Source organism: Homo sapiens, chromosome 11, assembly GCF_000001405.40.
Source record: "Homo sapiens chromosome 11, GRCh38.p14 Primary Assembly".
Classification (NCBI taxonomy): domain Eukaryota; kingdom Metazoa; phylum Chordata; class Mammalia; order Primates; family Hominidae; genus Homo; species Homo sapiens.
The window spans coordinates 59,436,151-59,452,001 of record NC_000011.10 but is presented as its reverse complement, the minus strand read 5'-3'; the positions used below and the strand labels follow the sequence as shown (position 1 = coordinate 59,452,001).

Genomic DNA, 15,851 nt, shown 5'->3' with positions numbered 1-15,851 from the left:
GCTGGGCCTGGTGGTGGTGTATGCTGTAGTCTCAGATATGCAGGAGGCTGAACTGGGCAGATCAATTCTGCCTGGGACATCGAAACTCTTCAGTGAACTGTGATTGCACCACTGTACTCCAGTCTGGGTGATGGAGCGAGAACCTGTCTCCAAAAAAAAAAAAGGACACAGCCCAATTCTAATTGTGTTTGAATGTTTAATTTCTTTTTATATATAGATACCATGAGTTGAAATAAATTGCAACACTCTTTAACTTCTTACAGAAATGGAAGACAAGAAGATTTTATCACCTTAATAATATAAATACCAAAATATAAAACAATTAAAATATTAGAATAAAACTTAGGTAAGTGTTTTCATAATTTTTGGAGTAGAGGAGCATTACACCAATAATTATTATATTTGACTAAGTAAAAATATAAAACTTTTACATTTTAAAAGCATTATAAATAAGCCTAAAACTATAAATAAAAAACTTGGGAAAATATCTAAAAACATGTAAAACAAGCTTAACATCTTTGCTATATAAAGAACTCTTATAAATCTGTAAGACACAGACATTTTGATACTTTAAAACAAAAATGAGTCATGATTCACAGAAAAATGCAGTTGGTTAGCCCACATGTGAAAAGACAGTCAATCAACTATTGATCAGATAAATATATTAGGAGGCCAAGGAGGGAGGATCTCTTGAGCTCATGAGTTTGAGACCAGCCTGGGCAACATAGGAAGATCCTGTCTCTATTAAAAAAGGGAAAGAAAGAAAGAAAAAAGGAAATACAAATTAAATTACAATGAGGTATCATTTCTCATCTAGAAGATTAACCAATGTTGAAAAGTCCACTGTTGGCATAGATGTGGGGAAAGTGACACTTTCATATGATTAATAGGAGTGCACACATAGGCAGCATTTCTGGGGTCATTCTGGAAATATGTGTCAAAATGTAATATGTACAAACCCCGTGACTCAAAATTTCTACTTTAGGAATTTATGCTAAAGAGTTAATAAACCAAATGTTTAATGTCCTAAATATAAACAAAGCTCATCACATTGCTGTTTCAAATAGTAGAAATTAGAATTTAAGTTAGCGTCTGATATAGAAAATTTGTTCAATAAATATGGCACAATAGTACAATTAAGTATTTGCAGACATTCAAAGTGATAACGTAGAATTGTACTTTTAAACATGGAAAGATTTCTTTTTAGTGACAGATTAAAACACTGAATATGTCACATGATGTTATTTTTGGGAAAAATATCTACATGGCTAGAAGTCTGAAAAGATGTATTAATATATCACAACAGTAGTAGCCATTATCTGTTGGTAATTGGATTTTGGCATTTTTATTTTAAAAAGACGTTCTGTTGTGTCTAATTAAAAAAATGATTTTAAATGGCTTCTGATTATGAAAATCAGAAAAAGTATTATACCTATTTACAATTTGAAGTAAAAAGTTCTCCATTAATTTGAGCTCTGATATTATGTATCTTGTATTTTTCTGTTTTTTGTTTTTAAAATTGTTCTAAGAAGCTGACTTATTATGGAAAAGGGTGTGTGGGAAAGACAGCTCTAATTTTTCTTTTGGTGTGTTATGGCTCCATGAGGCATTGGCTGGAGGCACCCAGAGGAGAACCTGGAATCAGCCAACTCAGGTCTCTGGGAACTGAGGTCAAATCTACTTACTGTTGACTTCTCTTTCAGATTAACATTATTCCACCTACTCTTCTGGTCAATCACCTTAGAAGGTTCTGGACTATCAGGCTCAATGTGAGGTCAGGATCAAACGATAGCCTTTCTATTTTGTAACCTCAGGGTTGCATGATTGAACATAGAATTAGCTTGTTCAAAAGAGCACAGCCTTCGAAGTCAGGTTCCAGTATTTTAAACTGTGCCTCTTGTGACCCGGAGCAAGTTAACCTTTATGAACCCCAGGACCTTATTCCATGAAATGGGGAACATACACCTTACTTTGCATAGTGAGGCTTGCTTGTGATAATCTAGCACTTTTTACTCCTTGCCTTTATGGGTCTATGTGTGTCTGCCTTTTCCTCCCAATGTAAACTCCCTGAAGGCAAGGATTTCTTTTGTCACTATTGTATCCCCAGCTCCTACCTGGAACATAGCAGTTATTCAATAATTCTTTTTGAAGATGAATGAACAAAGGGGTGTCCATTTGCAACTCCTGATGTGCAGTAGTTCCCCAACAAGTATTTGTTTTCCTTTACGCCATTTTCAGCCTCATCTTACATCCCCTATTCACTTATGTTGCTGTATAAGTCAATTAAATGGCTTAATGCATATGAGAGAATACTGCAAACTTCAAAGCATTATACAAATGTAGGGTATTAATATTATCATAATCCTAATATCATTATATAGTTGTCTTTTTGCTGCCATCTAACTTTTAATCACCTTTTAAGAAAGAGATCATGCTAGTTATTATTTTTTTACACATGGTAGGGGCTTAGTAATGTTTATGGAATGAGTTTTAATTTTTGAAAAATTACCTTATTTGAATGTGTCTTAGGAAGCCCAGTATTTTAGGTTAGAAGTAGGAGATCTTAATCAGCCTGAAGCTTCTAGTTCAAGATGACATATACTTCCAGAATTGCAAATGGACATTTTGCCTTTCAGAGACACTATTGAAATCATAAGTTTGTAGGTGTGCAAAATTTTCAGGACGCCCTCACCTACCTTTGCATTGGTAAAGTGAGCCTGACAACTTCCCCATCATCACTGCTCTGCCCTTCTTCACCCAAACACATGAACAGTTTACACTGTTCCTAACTGATGCTGAATAAGAAGTCTACTATAATGATTAGCATAGGGAGTAATATTGGATATTTGTAGGAAATATATTTTCAGTGGAGAAGTTGGCAGTTGCAGATGCAATGGGAGTTATTAAAAAGTTACTAAGCAACACGTGTGCATGTTTTTTCTCTCCTTTTCACACACACACACACACACCCATTATGATAGCACATCTAATAAGGAGGTGATGAAACTGTGTACAGGGAAGTCTGAGGAATCTCCAAAGGCTCCTTCTCTAAATTATATCAACATCAAATTTGATGCAAAGTCCTTGTATGATAACGATTACAGAAATTTCATCAACAATATTATAGTTCAAGAGTCAATTTCATGTGACAATGGTCACAATTTGGGTCACATAATTGATTTTTTTCCAACAGATCAATTATAATAATTGACCAAAAATGCATATTTATTGCGTTTTGTATATCAGGCAGTTCTAGATGCTGAGAATATATTTGTGAAGAGACAGATGTGACCCCACCCTCAAGCATGAACTTACAACTGTGATGATTCACACCAAAGGGCAAGAATGGGGCGAGATTGGCCCAGGGATTTAGTGAGGTCCAGGGAGTCTGGGAATGCTTCCTTGGGGGAAGTGGCATTTGATAATAACAGGAATCCCTGGTATTTATATAATGTTTTAAATTTTTTCTAAGAGATTTCTAAAAATCAATTTTCTTTTTTTGGGCTCATAATAATCCTGTAAGATCCAAGCATTGGATGAGACCAACGTCATCATAAAGAGGCCTTGACTGAGACCTGGAGATACTGACAAATTGGATTCCACTAGATGAGGCTCCTGGTCTAGTGGCCCCTCATAGTCGTGGATGGAACTTCAGTTTAGGACTTCTTAGAGGATCAGAGTGAAGTAACCTTAAAGATCTTAGTATGTGTATGGGGAGTTCCTTCCCTTTTCCTCCTGTTTTCCTGGAGAGGGACTTACGCTGAAATGGCATGCAGGTTTTGTGCCTCCTCCTTCACTCAGTCCTTTCTAGGAAGGTAGGAGTGATGTAAAGCAAGCTTGCACAACCCACAGCCCGTGGGCTTCATGCGGCCCAGGACGGCTTTGAATGTGGACCAATACAAATTTGTAAACTTCCTTAACACATTAAGAGTTTTTTTGTGATTTTTTTAAAGCTCATCAGCTATCATTAGTGTGTTTTTTTGTGTGGCCCAAGACAAATTCTTCCAATGTTGCCCAGGGAAGCCAAAAGATTGGACACCCCTGATTTAAAGGAGTGGTGAATCTGGGAAAAAAATTAGGCAGGAGAACTTGGCCTTCTGATCTTCCTTCTCTTTCTTTGGGATCTGTCTCCCTGCAGGGAGCATGTAGTCTGATTTTCTCTCATCTACGCAATTAGTGCAACAGGGCAAGCCTGCTTCTCCTGGGTTAGCCTGTCTAATTCTGGTGTACACTGTGGGGCAGCCACAGGACCAGATCAAAGCCATGTCCTCCAACAGAACATTATCTGTCGATTTAACATTATTAAACTGATATTTTGATTTTTGTCTCCCTGCTTCCTGCTGTTCTCTACTACCCAATAATGCCTGAAGAAGCTAATGATGTAACTGCAACCAAATAGGGGTGAGGATCAGACAATCTCTCCTTCTCATATTCTTTCTTGAATTTCCCTTGTAATGGTAAAATGCCTGTAAATTTTTGATTCATTTGCTGATATTTCTGTAAAGCAAGTATCCCTTAATATACAGATATAGTGTCAACTTTTCATTCCTAAAATTTTACTGGCCTAATTGTTGCAGTTTCATACACTAGCCTGACCCCAGTGGCAGTTGTTCTGTAGTTCTAGGCATAGCTGTGGCCTCTGCTTCTGGGCCTACATTTTGGAAGATGTGCAATAGAAAAATGGAGGCATGGGATACTTCCAGTAGACAGAAATGGGAGGCATATGTTGAGTTTCTCTAGTATTTTCCCTGGGTGGTATATTTGGCTGCCACTATAAAACCTCCCCACTTCAACCTAATCAGGGGCCCACTTGGGGGAAATGTCACAAAGTGTTTATGAGTTTAGTCTCAGGAGCCATGCTGAGTCAGCTTCCACTCAATGGCTGTGTCAATAGGGATTCAATGGCTTAACATGTATGAAATGTTCAGAATAGAACTTGAAATTTAGTAAGCACTCAGCAAATTTCAACTCTCTCTCTCTGAGTACCTGTATATACGATTTGTAGGAGTCATTCTACGTTTTATTGGCCGTGGATGGGAATGAATTTAGAGGATGAAGAACCCAGGAAACCTGAGAAGGGATCTCTGCTTTCCTATGCATTGTTTATGTTCTTCCAGATATGGAGGAAATAATTAATTCTGTTATATGAACAATCAAATCAAATATCTACTTATCCAATTGACCTACATCAATGGAAAAGTGAATGCGTTACAAGTAGCCAGAGAGAGAGATTTACCAGCAGAAATAGTTGTGTGGGACAATTCCACTGTGAGTGCCTGAAATGAAAGGGTAATTATCTGGAGGTGGGAACCTGGGATATACTTCCCTGAGATGATGGCAAATAAATTACACCCAATGTGGGCTGCAAGGTTTAATTTATTCAAGAGGAGAAACAGGAATTTTATAGGAGCAATGGGTTCAGATAGAAGATAGCAAGGGGAATTCAGGGTGTGGTGATCAAAAAGGACACCAAACTGTGAAATGGAGGCAGGTCCTGAACTGGTAAAGGAATGGCATGGTTAAAATCAAGGAGCTAGTATAGTCAAGACAATCCTAAGCAAAAAGAACAAAGCCGGAGGCATTACACTCCCTGACTTCAAACTATACTACAAGTCTATGGTAACCAAAACAACATGGTACTTGTACAAAAACAGACACGTAGACCAATAGAACACAATAGAGATCTCAGAAATAAGACTGCACATCTACAACCATTGAATCTTTGACAAACCTGATAAAGACAAGCAATGGGGAAAGGATTCCCTATCTAATAAATGGTGCTGGGAAAACTGGCTAGCCATATACAGAAAATTGAAAATGGACCAGTTCCTTAAACTTTATACAAAAATTAACTCAAGATGGATTAAAGATTTAAATGTAAAGCCCCAAACTATAAAAATCCTAGAAGAAAATCTAGGCAATGCCATTTAGGACATAGGCACTGGCAAAGATTTCATGATGAAAACGTCAAAAGCAATTGCAACAAAAGCAAACATTGGCAAATGGGATCTAATTAAACTAAAGAGATTCTGCAAAAGAAGCTATCATTAGAATGAACAGACAACCTACAGAATGGGAGAAAATTTTTGCAATCTATCTATCTGACAAAGGTAACTTAAACAAATTTACAAGAAAAAAACAAACAACCCTATCTAAAAGTGGGCAAATGACATGAACAGACACTTCTCAAAAGAAGACATTTGTATGGCCAACAAACATATGAAAAAAAGCTCAACATCACTAATTATTAGAGAAATGCAAATAAAAAATCACAATGAGATACCATCTCATGCTAGTCAGAATGGCAATTATTAAAAAGTCAAGAAACAACAGATGCTGGCGAGGCTGTGGAGAAATAGGAACACTTTTATACTGTTGGTGGGAATGTAAATTAGTTCAACCATTGTGGAAGACAGTGTGGCGAGTCCTCAAAGACCTAGAAATGGAAATATCATTTGACCCAGCAATCTTATTACTGGGTATATATCCAAAGGAATATAAATAATTCTATTATAAATATACATGCATGTGTATGTTCATTGCAGCACTATTCACAATAGCAAAGACATGGAATCAACCCAAATTCCCATCAATGAGAGACTGGATAAAGAAAATATGGTACATACATACCATGGAATACTATGCAGCCATAAAAGGAAGGAATTAGTGTTCTTTGCAGGGACATGGATAGAGCTGGAAGCCATTATCCTCAGCAAACTAACCCAAGAACAGATAACCAAATATCCAATGTTCTCACTTGTAAGTAAGAGCTAAACAATGAGAACACATGGACACAGAGAGGGGAACAATGCACATTGGGGCCTGTCAGGAGGCAGGGAGGAGGGAGAGCATCGGGATAAATAGCTAACGGATGTGGGGCTTAATACCTAGGTGATGGGTGGATAGGTGCAGCAAATCACCATGACATATGTTTACCTATGTAACAAACCTGCACATCCTGCATATGTATCCCGGAACTTAAAATAAAATAAAATTAAATTAAATTAAAAGAAAAAAAATACAACATTTAGTGAAATATTAAAGAAAAATCAAGGAGGTACTGACTGATAGGCAGTTTAGGGGACTGAGACTGAGAAAAGAAGAGTATTGGTATGACACCATTGGACTCAAATTTCCCAGCCCTTACATAGCTGAGAAAGAGAGAAATGGCAGCCAAGGGGAATGTCCTTCAGCATTTGCTTAGCAAATTACTCAGTAGCCATAATTGGAATTCAACAGGGAGATCCTAGAGAGGGCATTTGATGAGGTAGGCATCTTGTTTTTCTAATTTACCTTAACTACACATAGTGTATCTTTTCAGATTCTGCCATATGCCAGTAACAAGAGTTATATACTCGTACTACTTTTGGGCTATTTTTTTGTTGAATGTGGAGTGCAGCGTTTGGGCAGAACGTGGGCTCTGGAGTCAGGAAGACCTTGGTGTGAATGAGAGTTCTGCCTCTTCCTTGGTGACCCTGAGCAAGTTAATTTTCCTTGCTGACACACTGTTTCCTTATTTTGTAACATACAGATAGTTCATTGTGTATTTTAGTACTGCAATGAGTATTTAATTAAATAACTTTTGTGCCTGGTACATACTAAGGGCCCAATAAAGGCTAGTTATTGTGATTATTGTGAAAATAGGTTATCCTGGGGAGGTTCTTTTTTTTTTTTTTTTTTTTCTGAAGAAATTCCTTCCCTTTTTGGCTATCTATGGCACAGTCAGTAGACAAGTGACCATGAGGAAGGGTGAGAGGAATCTGGAGGGAAGAGTCTCCACAAATGAGAGCACCAAATATCTCCCTTGCCTGAGGCAGAGGTGGAGGTGAAGGCTTGGATTGTTTAATTCTCCAGCAGTTTGGATAAATAAGTTTCTACGCATGACCTAAGAAAACACTTTCTTCCTTTCCAACACCTTCCACAGGGCATCCTTGATCTCTTTGTTCCTCAAACTGTAAATGAGAGGGTTCAGCATGGGGATCACCAATGAATAGAAAACAGACACCACCTTGTCCCTGCCTAGCAAGTAGCTGGAGCTGGGTCGCAAGTACACGAAAAGGGCTGTCCCAAACAGCAGAGTCACCACCATCAGATGCGAGGCACACGTGTTGCAGGCTTTCCATCGGCCCTCTGCTGAAGGGATCTTCAGGACCGCAGACACTATGTAACCATAGGAGATAAGGAGTTGGAGGAACGATGTTCCTCCGACAGTGACCACCACGAGGAAATTCACCACTTGACTGAGGAAGGTGTCAGAGCAAGACAGAGCCAGGACTGGTGGGAGGTCGCAGAAGAAGTGGTTGATGATGTTGGGTCCGCAAAAGTGAAGCCTAAATATGGAGCTGGCCTGGATCAGGGAGCTCAGGAAGCCACCAACATATGCCCCAACCACCATGCGTGTACAGAGGCCCTGGGTCATGATAGTGGGGTAGAGAAGGGGGCTGGAGATGGCTGCATATCGGTCGTATGCCATAGCAGTCAGGAGGAGGCACTCAGACAGACCCATGCCGACAAAGAAAAAAAACTGAGCAGCACAGCCCACAAATGATATGGTCTTCTGCTCCCAGAAGAAGTCAGTGAGCATATTGGGAGCCACAGCAGAAGAGTAGCAGATGTCAATGAAAGATAAGTTGCTTAGGAAGAAGTACATGGGTGTGTGCAGATGGGTGTCACCTCTGATCAGAAAAATGAGGGCCAGGTTCCAGGCCAGGGTGGTAAGATAGATGCCCAGGAAGGTCACAAAGAGGAGGGCCTGGAGTTCTGGATGGTCTGTGAATCCCAGGAGGATGAACATGGTCACTGATGAGCTGTTCCAGGCTTTGGTTATGGACATGCTTCCCGTGGACCACAAGGACAAGATGCAGACCTGGGATAGTAATGACAGTCCACATTATAGGTGGTATTAGCAAATAACTACAAAATGCCTGAGAGGGAGGGCAGAGGATTACAGGTTACAGCTTTATGCAAAGACTCTCTTTCTCTTTCTCAGTCTCAGTCTCAGTCTCTCTCTCTCAAAGAAGGGAGTTGCAGTCATCATCTTAAATATTTAGGTAGTATAGTGTAGTTGATAATGAATCTAACTTTTGAACCCAAAATCCCTGGGATCAACTCCTGCCTCCACCATTTTGGGTGAGATAGCTAACATCTCTGGCTTCAATTTATTTATCCTTAAAACTGGATGATAGCAATTAATTCACAGATTTGTTTTAAGTGCCTGGCACATAACAAGTGACCAGTGAGTAATTATTAGGACAGTTCTGTGTGCCTCAGGTAAGTCAGGTCATGTCTTGGAATAACTATTCATCTACTTTACCTAAGTTTCAATATTAGGAAGGAAAGATCAACGGAACTAGGTTCAGCTATGTAGTTGTGAAACGATTAATCAGATAGAATGTTTTTAATGCAAAGGATTAGCCCACATATATGTAAAAATGCTCTTAATTGTCGAATATTGGGTCCAAATATACTAATGTAGGTTGAATTTCAAATTTATCTTAGTCTGAGCATTCTGAGTTATTATTTTATTTATTTATTTATTTCTTATTTTTTATTTTTTTTTGAGATGGAGTTTCGCTCTTGTTGCCCAGGCTAGAGTGCAATGGCAGTATCTCAGGTCACCGCAACCTCCGCCTCCTGGGTTCAAGCGATTCTCCCGCTTCAGCCTCCTGAGTAGCTGGGATTACAGGCATACGCCACCGCGACTGGCTAATTTTGTATTTTAAGTAGAGACGGAGTTTCTCCATGTTGGTCAGGCTGGTCTCGAACGACCTTGGGCGATCCGCCCGCCTCAGCCTCCCAAAGTGCTGGGATTACAGGCTTGAGCCACTGCCCCTGGCCTGAGTTGTTTAGTTGTTGAGTGTGGGCTCTGGATCTAGACTGCCTGGATTTAATTCTCAGCTTCACTTAGTAGATGTGCGATGTTGACCAGGTCACTTGAACTCTCTCTCTCTGTAAAATTAGAGATAATAATAGTATTTACTTTGTTATAGGATCTGTCTAATTATCATCTATCATCTATCTATCTATCTATCTATCTATCTATCTATCTATCTATCTATCTATCATCTCTCTATCCATCTTTATCTATCTGTCTATCATCTATCTACCATCTATCATCATCATCATGTATCATCTAATCTTCTTAGATCATGCCTGGCCCATAGTAACTGTTCTATAAGTATTTGTTGTTGTTGCTGTTGTTATTTTAAACCTAAGTTACAAAGTATCCTCAATCAAATTATTTGAATTTTTAGTGCATGAAGCATCTTTCAAGATCAGGGACTTGATTTTATTAAATCCACACCAGTAAGGACTCCCATTGCCCCCTCACACAGCCACACTGAGTCTCAATGCACATTAATCAGAAGAGAACTGTAGTCATCAGGTCTCTGAAACTGGTAGGTTTCCCTAATCCTATAGAAAGTACCAGGAAAAATGTGGTCAGAGGGCCATGTGGCTTATGGTGAATGACCCTTAAAGGTTTGGAATATATCTTGATCCTTCTTCAGTTCTTAACCCAAATAATTTGGAAATCAATGAAATTATTTTAACTGGCTTTTAAATTAAAGAACTGTGAGATATTTTGATTAATATGATCAATATACAAATGTGAACTATTGAAACAAAAAATCATGTTCCTGATTAATAAAAAAAAGGAAACTGAACATTATTATCTATCTCCTGAAATAATAACTCTTAATATTTTGGTGTATACTTTTTATGTACAAGTATATGTTTATGTGCATAGGTGTTTGTATCATAGTACACAAACCTTTGTAACTTGTATATATTATAGAAGTCATTGCAAGTCAATAACTTCACAATTTGGGAAGTAATACTCTATTTGCGCCAAATTTTTCTGCTCAATTTAGGAGAGCCACTTTATTTCGACATCCTCAATTTTCACAAATCAATCCACATCTACTCATTGCCAGTTAAGGTCTCATTGACATTCTTAATATTTTTTTCCTGGAACTTGCACAGACAGATGCCCTTGAAATTGGGGCCCATTTCTCCCCTGTCAATAGTTCCTTCTACTTATTTTTTATTGCTAAACCCCTCACATTTGGATAATGGGAGAATGTGAAGCTCCTTTTAGCTATCATCATGCTGTCATTTGTGCAGAGTTTTAGATATTCATCACATTAGTCACGCTATTGTCGGTATGACTTTAAGCTTCATCCTATATTCTAAGGTTTTGCTCCTGTTTGTGAAAGGTTTGTGAACTTTCTAGAGTCAAGAGAGGATTCTTTATCCTTCAAAGAAATAAAAGAGGAACGTGCAACAAACTTTGGCATAATCGAGAGCAGATGTAGAGTCACATGGAGAAACTGGGAGCTAAAACAAGAAGAGCTCTGCGGGAGGCCTCACACATTCCATAGAGGTACAGCCATTTGGCAAGGTAGAAACCTGAGGTCTGTGTTATGATTCAGGGTCATCTGGGGGCACCCATTCAGGTTAGAAGAAAGGGGAGTGGGAGAAGGTAGTGGTTTGATCCTGGGTAGGCTTTAGAAAAAGACTGGTTCTAATTCTGACTCTGCCACTTGCCAGCTGTGGGATGTTGGGCAACTCATTTAGCCTTTCTGAATTTCAATTTCCTCATTTGTAAAATGGGAATAACAGTGACTACTAGCCAGGTGTGGTGGTTTATGCCCACAATCCTAGCACTTTGGGAAGCAGAGGCTGGAGGATTGCTTGAGGCCAGGAGCTCGAGACCAACCTGAGAAACATGGTGAGACCTCATCTCTACAAATAAAAATAAAAATGAAAAAATTGGTAGGGTATGGTGGCATACAGCTGTGGTCCCAGCTACCAGGAGGCTGAGGTGGGAGGATTGCTTGAGCCCACAAGGTTGAGGCTGCAGTTAGTTGTGATCATGCCACTACACTCCAGCCTAGGTGACAAAGGGAGACCTTGTCTCAAAACAACAATAAAACAAACAGTAACTACTTAACAGAGCTTGAAAATTGCTTAAGATAATGTATAAAGGGATCATGGTGGGTCTTGAGATAGAATGTTTGCTTAATAAACTGGGAATGTGATTGTTATCAGCAGCAACTATTCCTTAAAATATTATTGATAGGACCGACCATTAATTTTGAAACCCTTCCTCCTTATGTAATAGGTTGAAGTATGCTTATGTTAGAGAAATAAGAAGTTCACTAATGGACCATGCAGATTTGTAAGAAGTGTTTACGAGTGAGGTTGAGGAACTTAATGATTGGAGTCTGATGGGTTAATTGAAAGTCTGTTTTGAATATTGTCATCAGGAGGGAGAAATTTTGTATTTAAGGATGAGATTTCCCAGTCCCAGAAACAGAAAGTGGAGCTGGACAAATTGAAACAAAAGGAAAAGCATATGTAGAGTTTTTTTCCCACATATGGATGCCCTGCAGCTTATTTTAGAACATTAGAGAGAAGGTATCTTAAGGATTGTATGGAGTGCTTTATGGCATGGAACTCTGTCATGAAGAGGTGCTTCTTCCCTTGAGAGGGAAAGGAAGTTTTATTCACTCTTGCAGCAAACTTGGGGAGCCTGGACTCCCTACAATTCTATGATATAATCAACACCAGGTATAATCAACACCAGGTCTATTTTACAGAGCTGAAGAGGAAGAGTCTGAGAGGCTCAGTGACCTCATTAGACTCATAGATGCAGTTCCAGCATCTTTGTGAACTACACTATCCTTGACTGACACGGGAAGATAATAATACAGTAAAACCAAGCACCTAGCACAGACCTTTGCACATAGAAGATACTGGATAATTGATGGGGACTCGTAGAGTTGATTTATGATTCTGTTCATTTTCCATCAAATATATCTGGAAGAAGTGTTAAACTTTGTAACAAAATTTGCCTCATTTGAGCTTCACAGACACAGTTTGTGATGGAGGAAAACATGGAATGATAAGGACCTCAGCCAAATTGTGGAGTTGGAGGTGTTCTGTGATTTCCCCGCCAATCCTGATCTGGTGTCCTTCACTTCATAATGCCATTTTCCTCTCATCCCTGCCAGTGCCTGGTGCCCTCAAGATACTGCTCTTCCAGGTCTTTCTTTTATCTGAATGTACAAATGATTGATGAAATGAGGAGTTCCTCTCAATGTAAGGTGACAATGCTAAAGGGGTCAAGACTTTAATTCAAGAATTAAGATTCAGATGGTATCATTCATAGCATTAGTGAGAAAAGAGAAGGAGAGTTTTGGAGTTTAGAGGCCTCTGCAGTGTTTGGAAAATCTGCTGTGTAAAGTGTGTCTGGATTACAGGCCTTCTAAATTACTTTTTGGATTGCTTACTAATAATTGAGGCTGTGTGTAAGGGCATAGAAGTTCCTTCAGAAATGTCATTCCCTTTTAATCATCTTGGTAGTTGCAAGGGCTCAAATGTACTTCAGGAAGCTCATCACGGGAGCAGTAGAGAAGAACCAATATTGGGCTGTGATTTCAGAATCAGGCTCTTAAATGCCTCACTCAGATTATCACGGTGAGCAAATTTCCCTCCTTAGAGTAACCTTGGTTTTTGAAAAGATTGGTTTCATATTTGTTCTACCTTAGCATCTAATAGTATGCTGGGTTTACTGTTCACAAAATTTGTAATGAACAATTAATGCATTTATAAAGCTAATAATTCATCATGATTTTCTGAAGACTTAAAAAAAATGCTACTGAACATTTAATAGTCAACTGATTACCAGTTGAAGAGAACATGTGTCTCTTTTAGCTCTCTTTTAGTAATATGTCCCATTTAAGACAATATAGAATAGTGTATTAGGCCGTTTTTCAGGACTACCTGAGGCTGGATAATTTATAAAGAAAAGAGGTTTAATTGGCTCACAGTTCGGCAGACAGTACAAGAAGTGTGGCGCTGGCATCTGCTTCTGGTGAGGGCTGCAGGAAGCTATAATCACGGCGGAAGGTGAAGGGGGAGTAGACATCTCATATGGTGAGAGCAGATGCAAGAGAGAGAGAGCAACAGAAAGGGGCCAGGCTCTTTAAACAACCAGCTGTTGCCTGAATTCACTAATCACCAAGGGGATAGCACTACCCCATTCATGAAGGATCCGCCCCATGGGCCAATCACCTCCTACCAGGCCCCGCCTCCAACAATGGGGATTACATTTCAACATGAGATTTGGAGGGAAGAAACACTCAAACTATATCAAACAGGGTCCAGCTTATCGTATACAACAATTAATAAAACACTGCACTGGGAAAATTATTCAACTGATAAATCAAGAGCATAGAATTATCTGAGACAGACAACAAACTTGTATGTAAATCCTAAATTTCTGCATGTTATCTGGAATTTCAATTTTGAATTGGAGAAAGCTCAAATATGAAAAGAATAATGTACATTTAAAAAACTTTGGCAAAAAAATCTGTAAATTCAAAGTTTCCATATTCTACTTAAGTACTTAAATGACAGCAGAGAATGCTTGAAAACAAAATAGTATACAGCAGACTTCTTGAAAAGTATAGTACCGAAAATAAATGAGCTATCAAGCCATGAAAAGACATGGAGGAAACTTACGTGCATATTACTAAGTGAAATAAATTAACCTGAAAGGCTACGTAGGGTATGATTCCACCTATAAGACATATTGGAAAAAGCAAAACTATGGAGACAGTAAAAAGATCAGTAGTTGCTAGGGGTCAGGGAGAGGGAAGGGTGAACAGGGAGAGCACAGAGGGTTTTTAGGACAGTGAAGCTACTATGGATGATCCTATAACAGTGGATACATGTCATCATACATTTGCCCAAACCCACGGAATACACAACACTAAGAATGAACCCAAATGTTAACTATGGATTTTGGGTGATAATAATTTGCCAATGTAGGTTCATTGATTGTAACAATGTACCACTGTGGTGGGGGAGATTGATCATGGAGGAGGCTATGCATGTGTAGGAGTAAAAGGATAAATAGGAAATCTCTGGTCAATATTGCCGTGACTCTACAATTGCTCTAAAAAATAAGGTCTATTTTTTAAAAAGTACAAAAAAAGATTTGGCTGAATTTGAGGAAAGACAAATAGCATTGAGAGGTGCAGGGAGAAAAACTAAAAGTCAAAGAACTTATTGGTTACCTATATGGGCTTGTGGATATAGGGAATTCTATCATGTGAGATTAATATGGGCATGAAGACAAAGAGCAAACTGCACTTACCCTGTTGCTCCTGCTCTGTCTGCCCTTTAGCTGATACCTGTTTTGAGTTGTTCTGCTTTGGAAGGAGTTTAATTGGGTTTCAGTGGCTGCTTCCAATTACCAAAGTGCTAATGAGTTTGGAGAGAGCTTGCGGCTGGTTTTTTCATCAAGGATCAAAATATCCTCTTGGTGCATAGAAGGTGTGCTTTGGGGCAGAGTAAAGGAAGAAAAAGATATATAAAGAAAGGATGGAGGTTGTAATCTTTAAGAAGCTCTTCTGGCATCAGCTAATATCTGCATTTAGGGTCATTTTGAGAAAATGTTCAAAGCTGGGGTTGGGGGTAAATTGGGGAGAGGTTTTTTTCTTCTGTCCTTGGAGATGTTTCATTATATTTGCTCCTGAGGGTCTTTTTGAAAGGGAGGAATGTATCACCCGAACTTCACAGCTTTATGATTAATTGCTCTCTGGGGTTGTCTAGAACGCAAACTCTAAAAGCTCCAAAACTGATGCTTATTAAACTCCATCCCAGTGGCTAGGGCCTCCAATCCCCCAAGGCCAATCAAGATATTTTCTGGTAGTACCTGACGAAAAAACTCAGGATAGCAGTGGAACATAAGGATAGGTTAAACACCACTCCACAAAATAAAGCAAAATTGCCTATCTATAAATACATATTTATTGACTCTATTCCATTACTTAGTAGAA

General features: G+C 38.9%; 1 protein-coding gene across 1 annotated transcript; it reads right to left on the bottom strand.

Annotated features, from left to right (window-relative positions):
- Positions 1 to 621: 621 nt before the first annotated feature.
- OR5A1 (olfactory receptor family 5 subfamily A member 1) lies at positions 622 to 15,533 on the bottom strand. The gene is made up of 2 exons (NM_001004728.2): positions 15,167 to 15,533; positions 622 to 8,866 (listed from the first exon to the last, which is right to left on the bottom strand). The coding sequence occupies exon 2, from the start codon at positions 8,831 to 8,833 to the stop codon at positions 7,886 to 7,888; it is 948 nt and encodes a 315-aa protein (NP_001004728.1). The 5' UTR covers positions 8,834 to 8,866; positions 15,167 to 15,533; the 3' UTR covers positions 622 to 7,885.
- Positions 15,534 to 15,851: the final 318 nt, after the last annotated feature.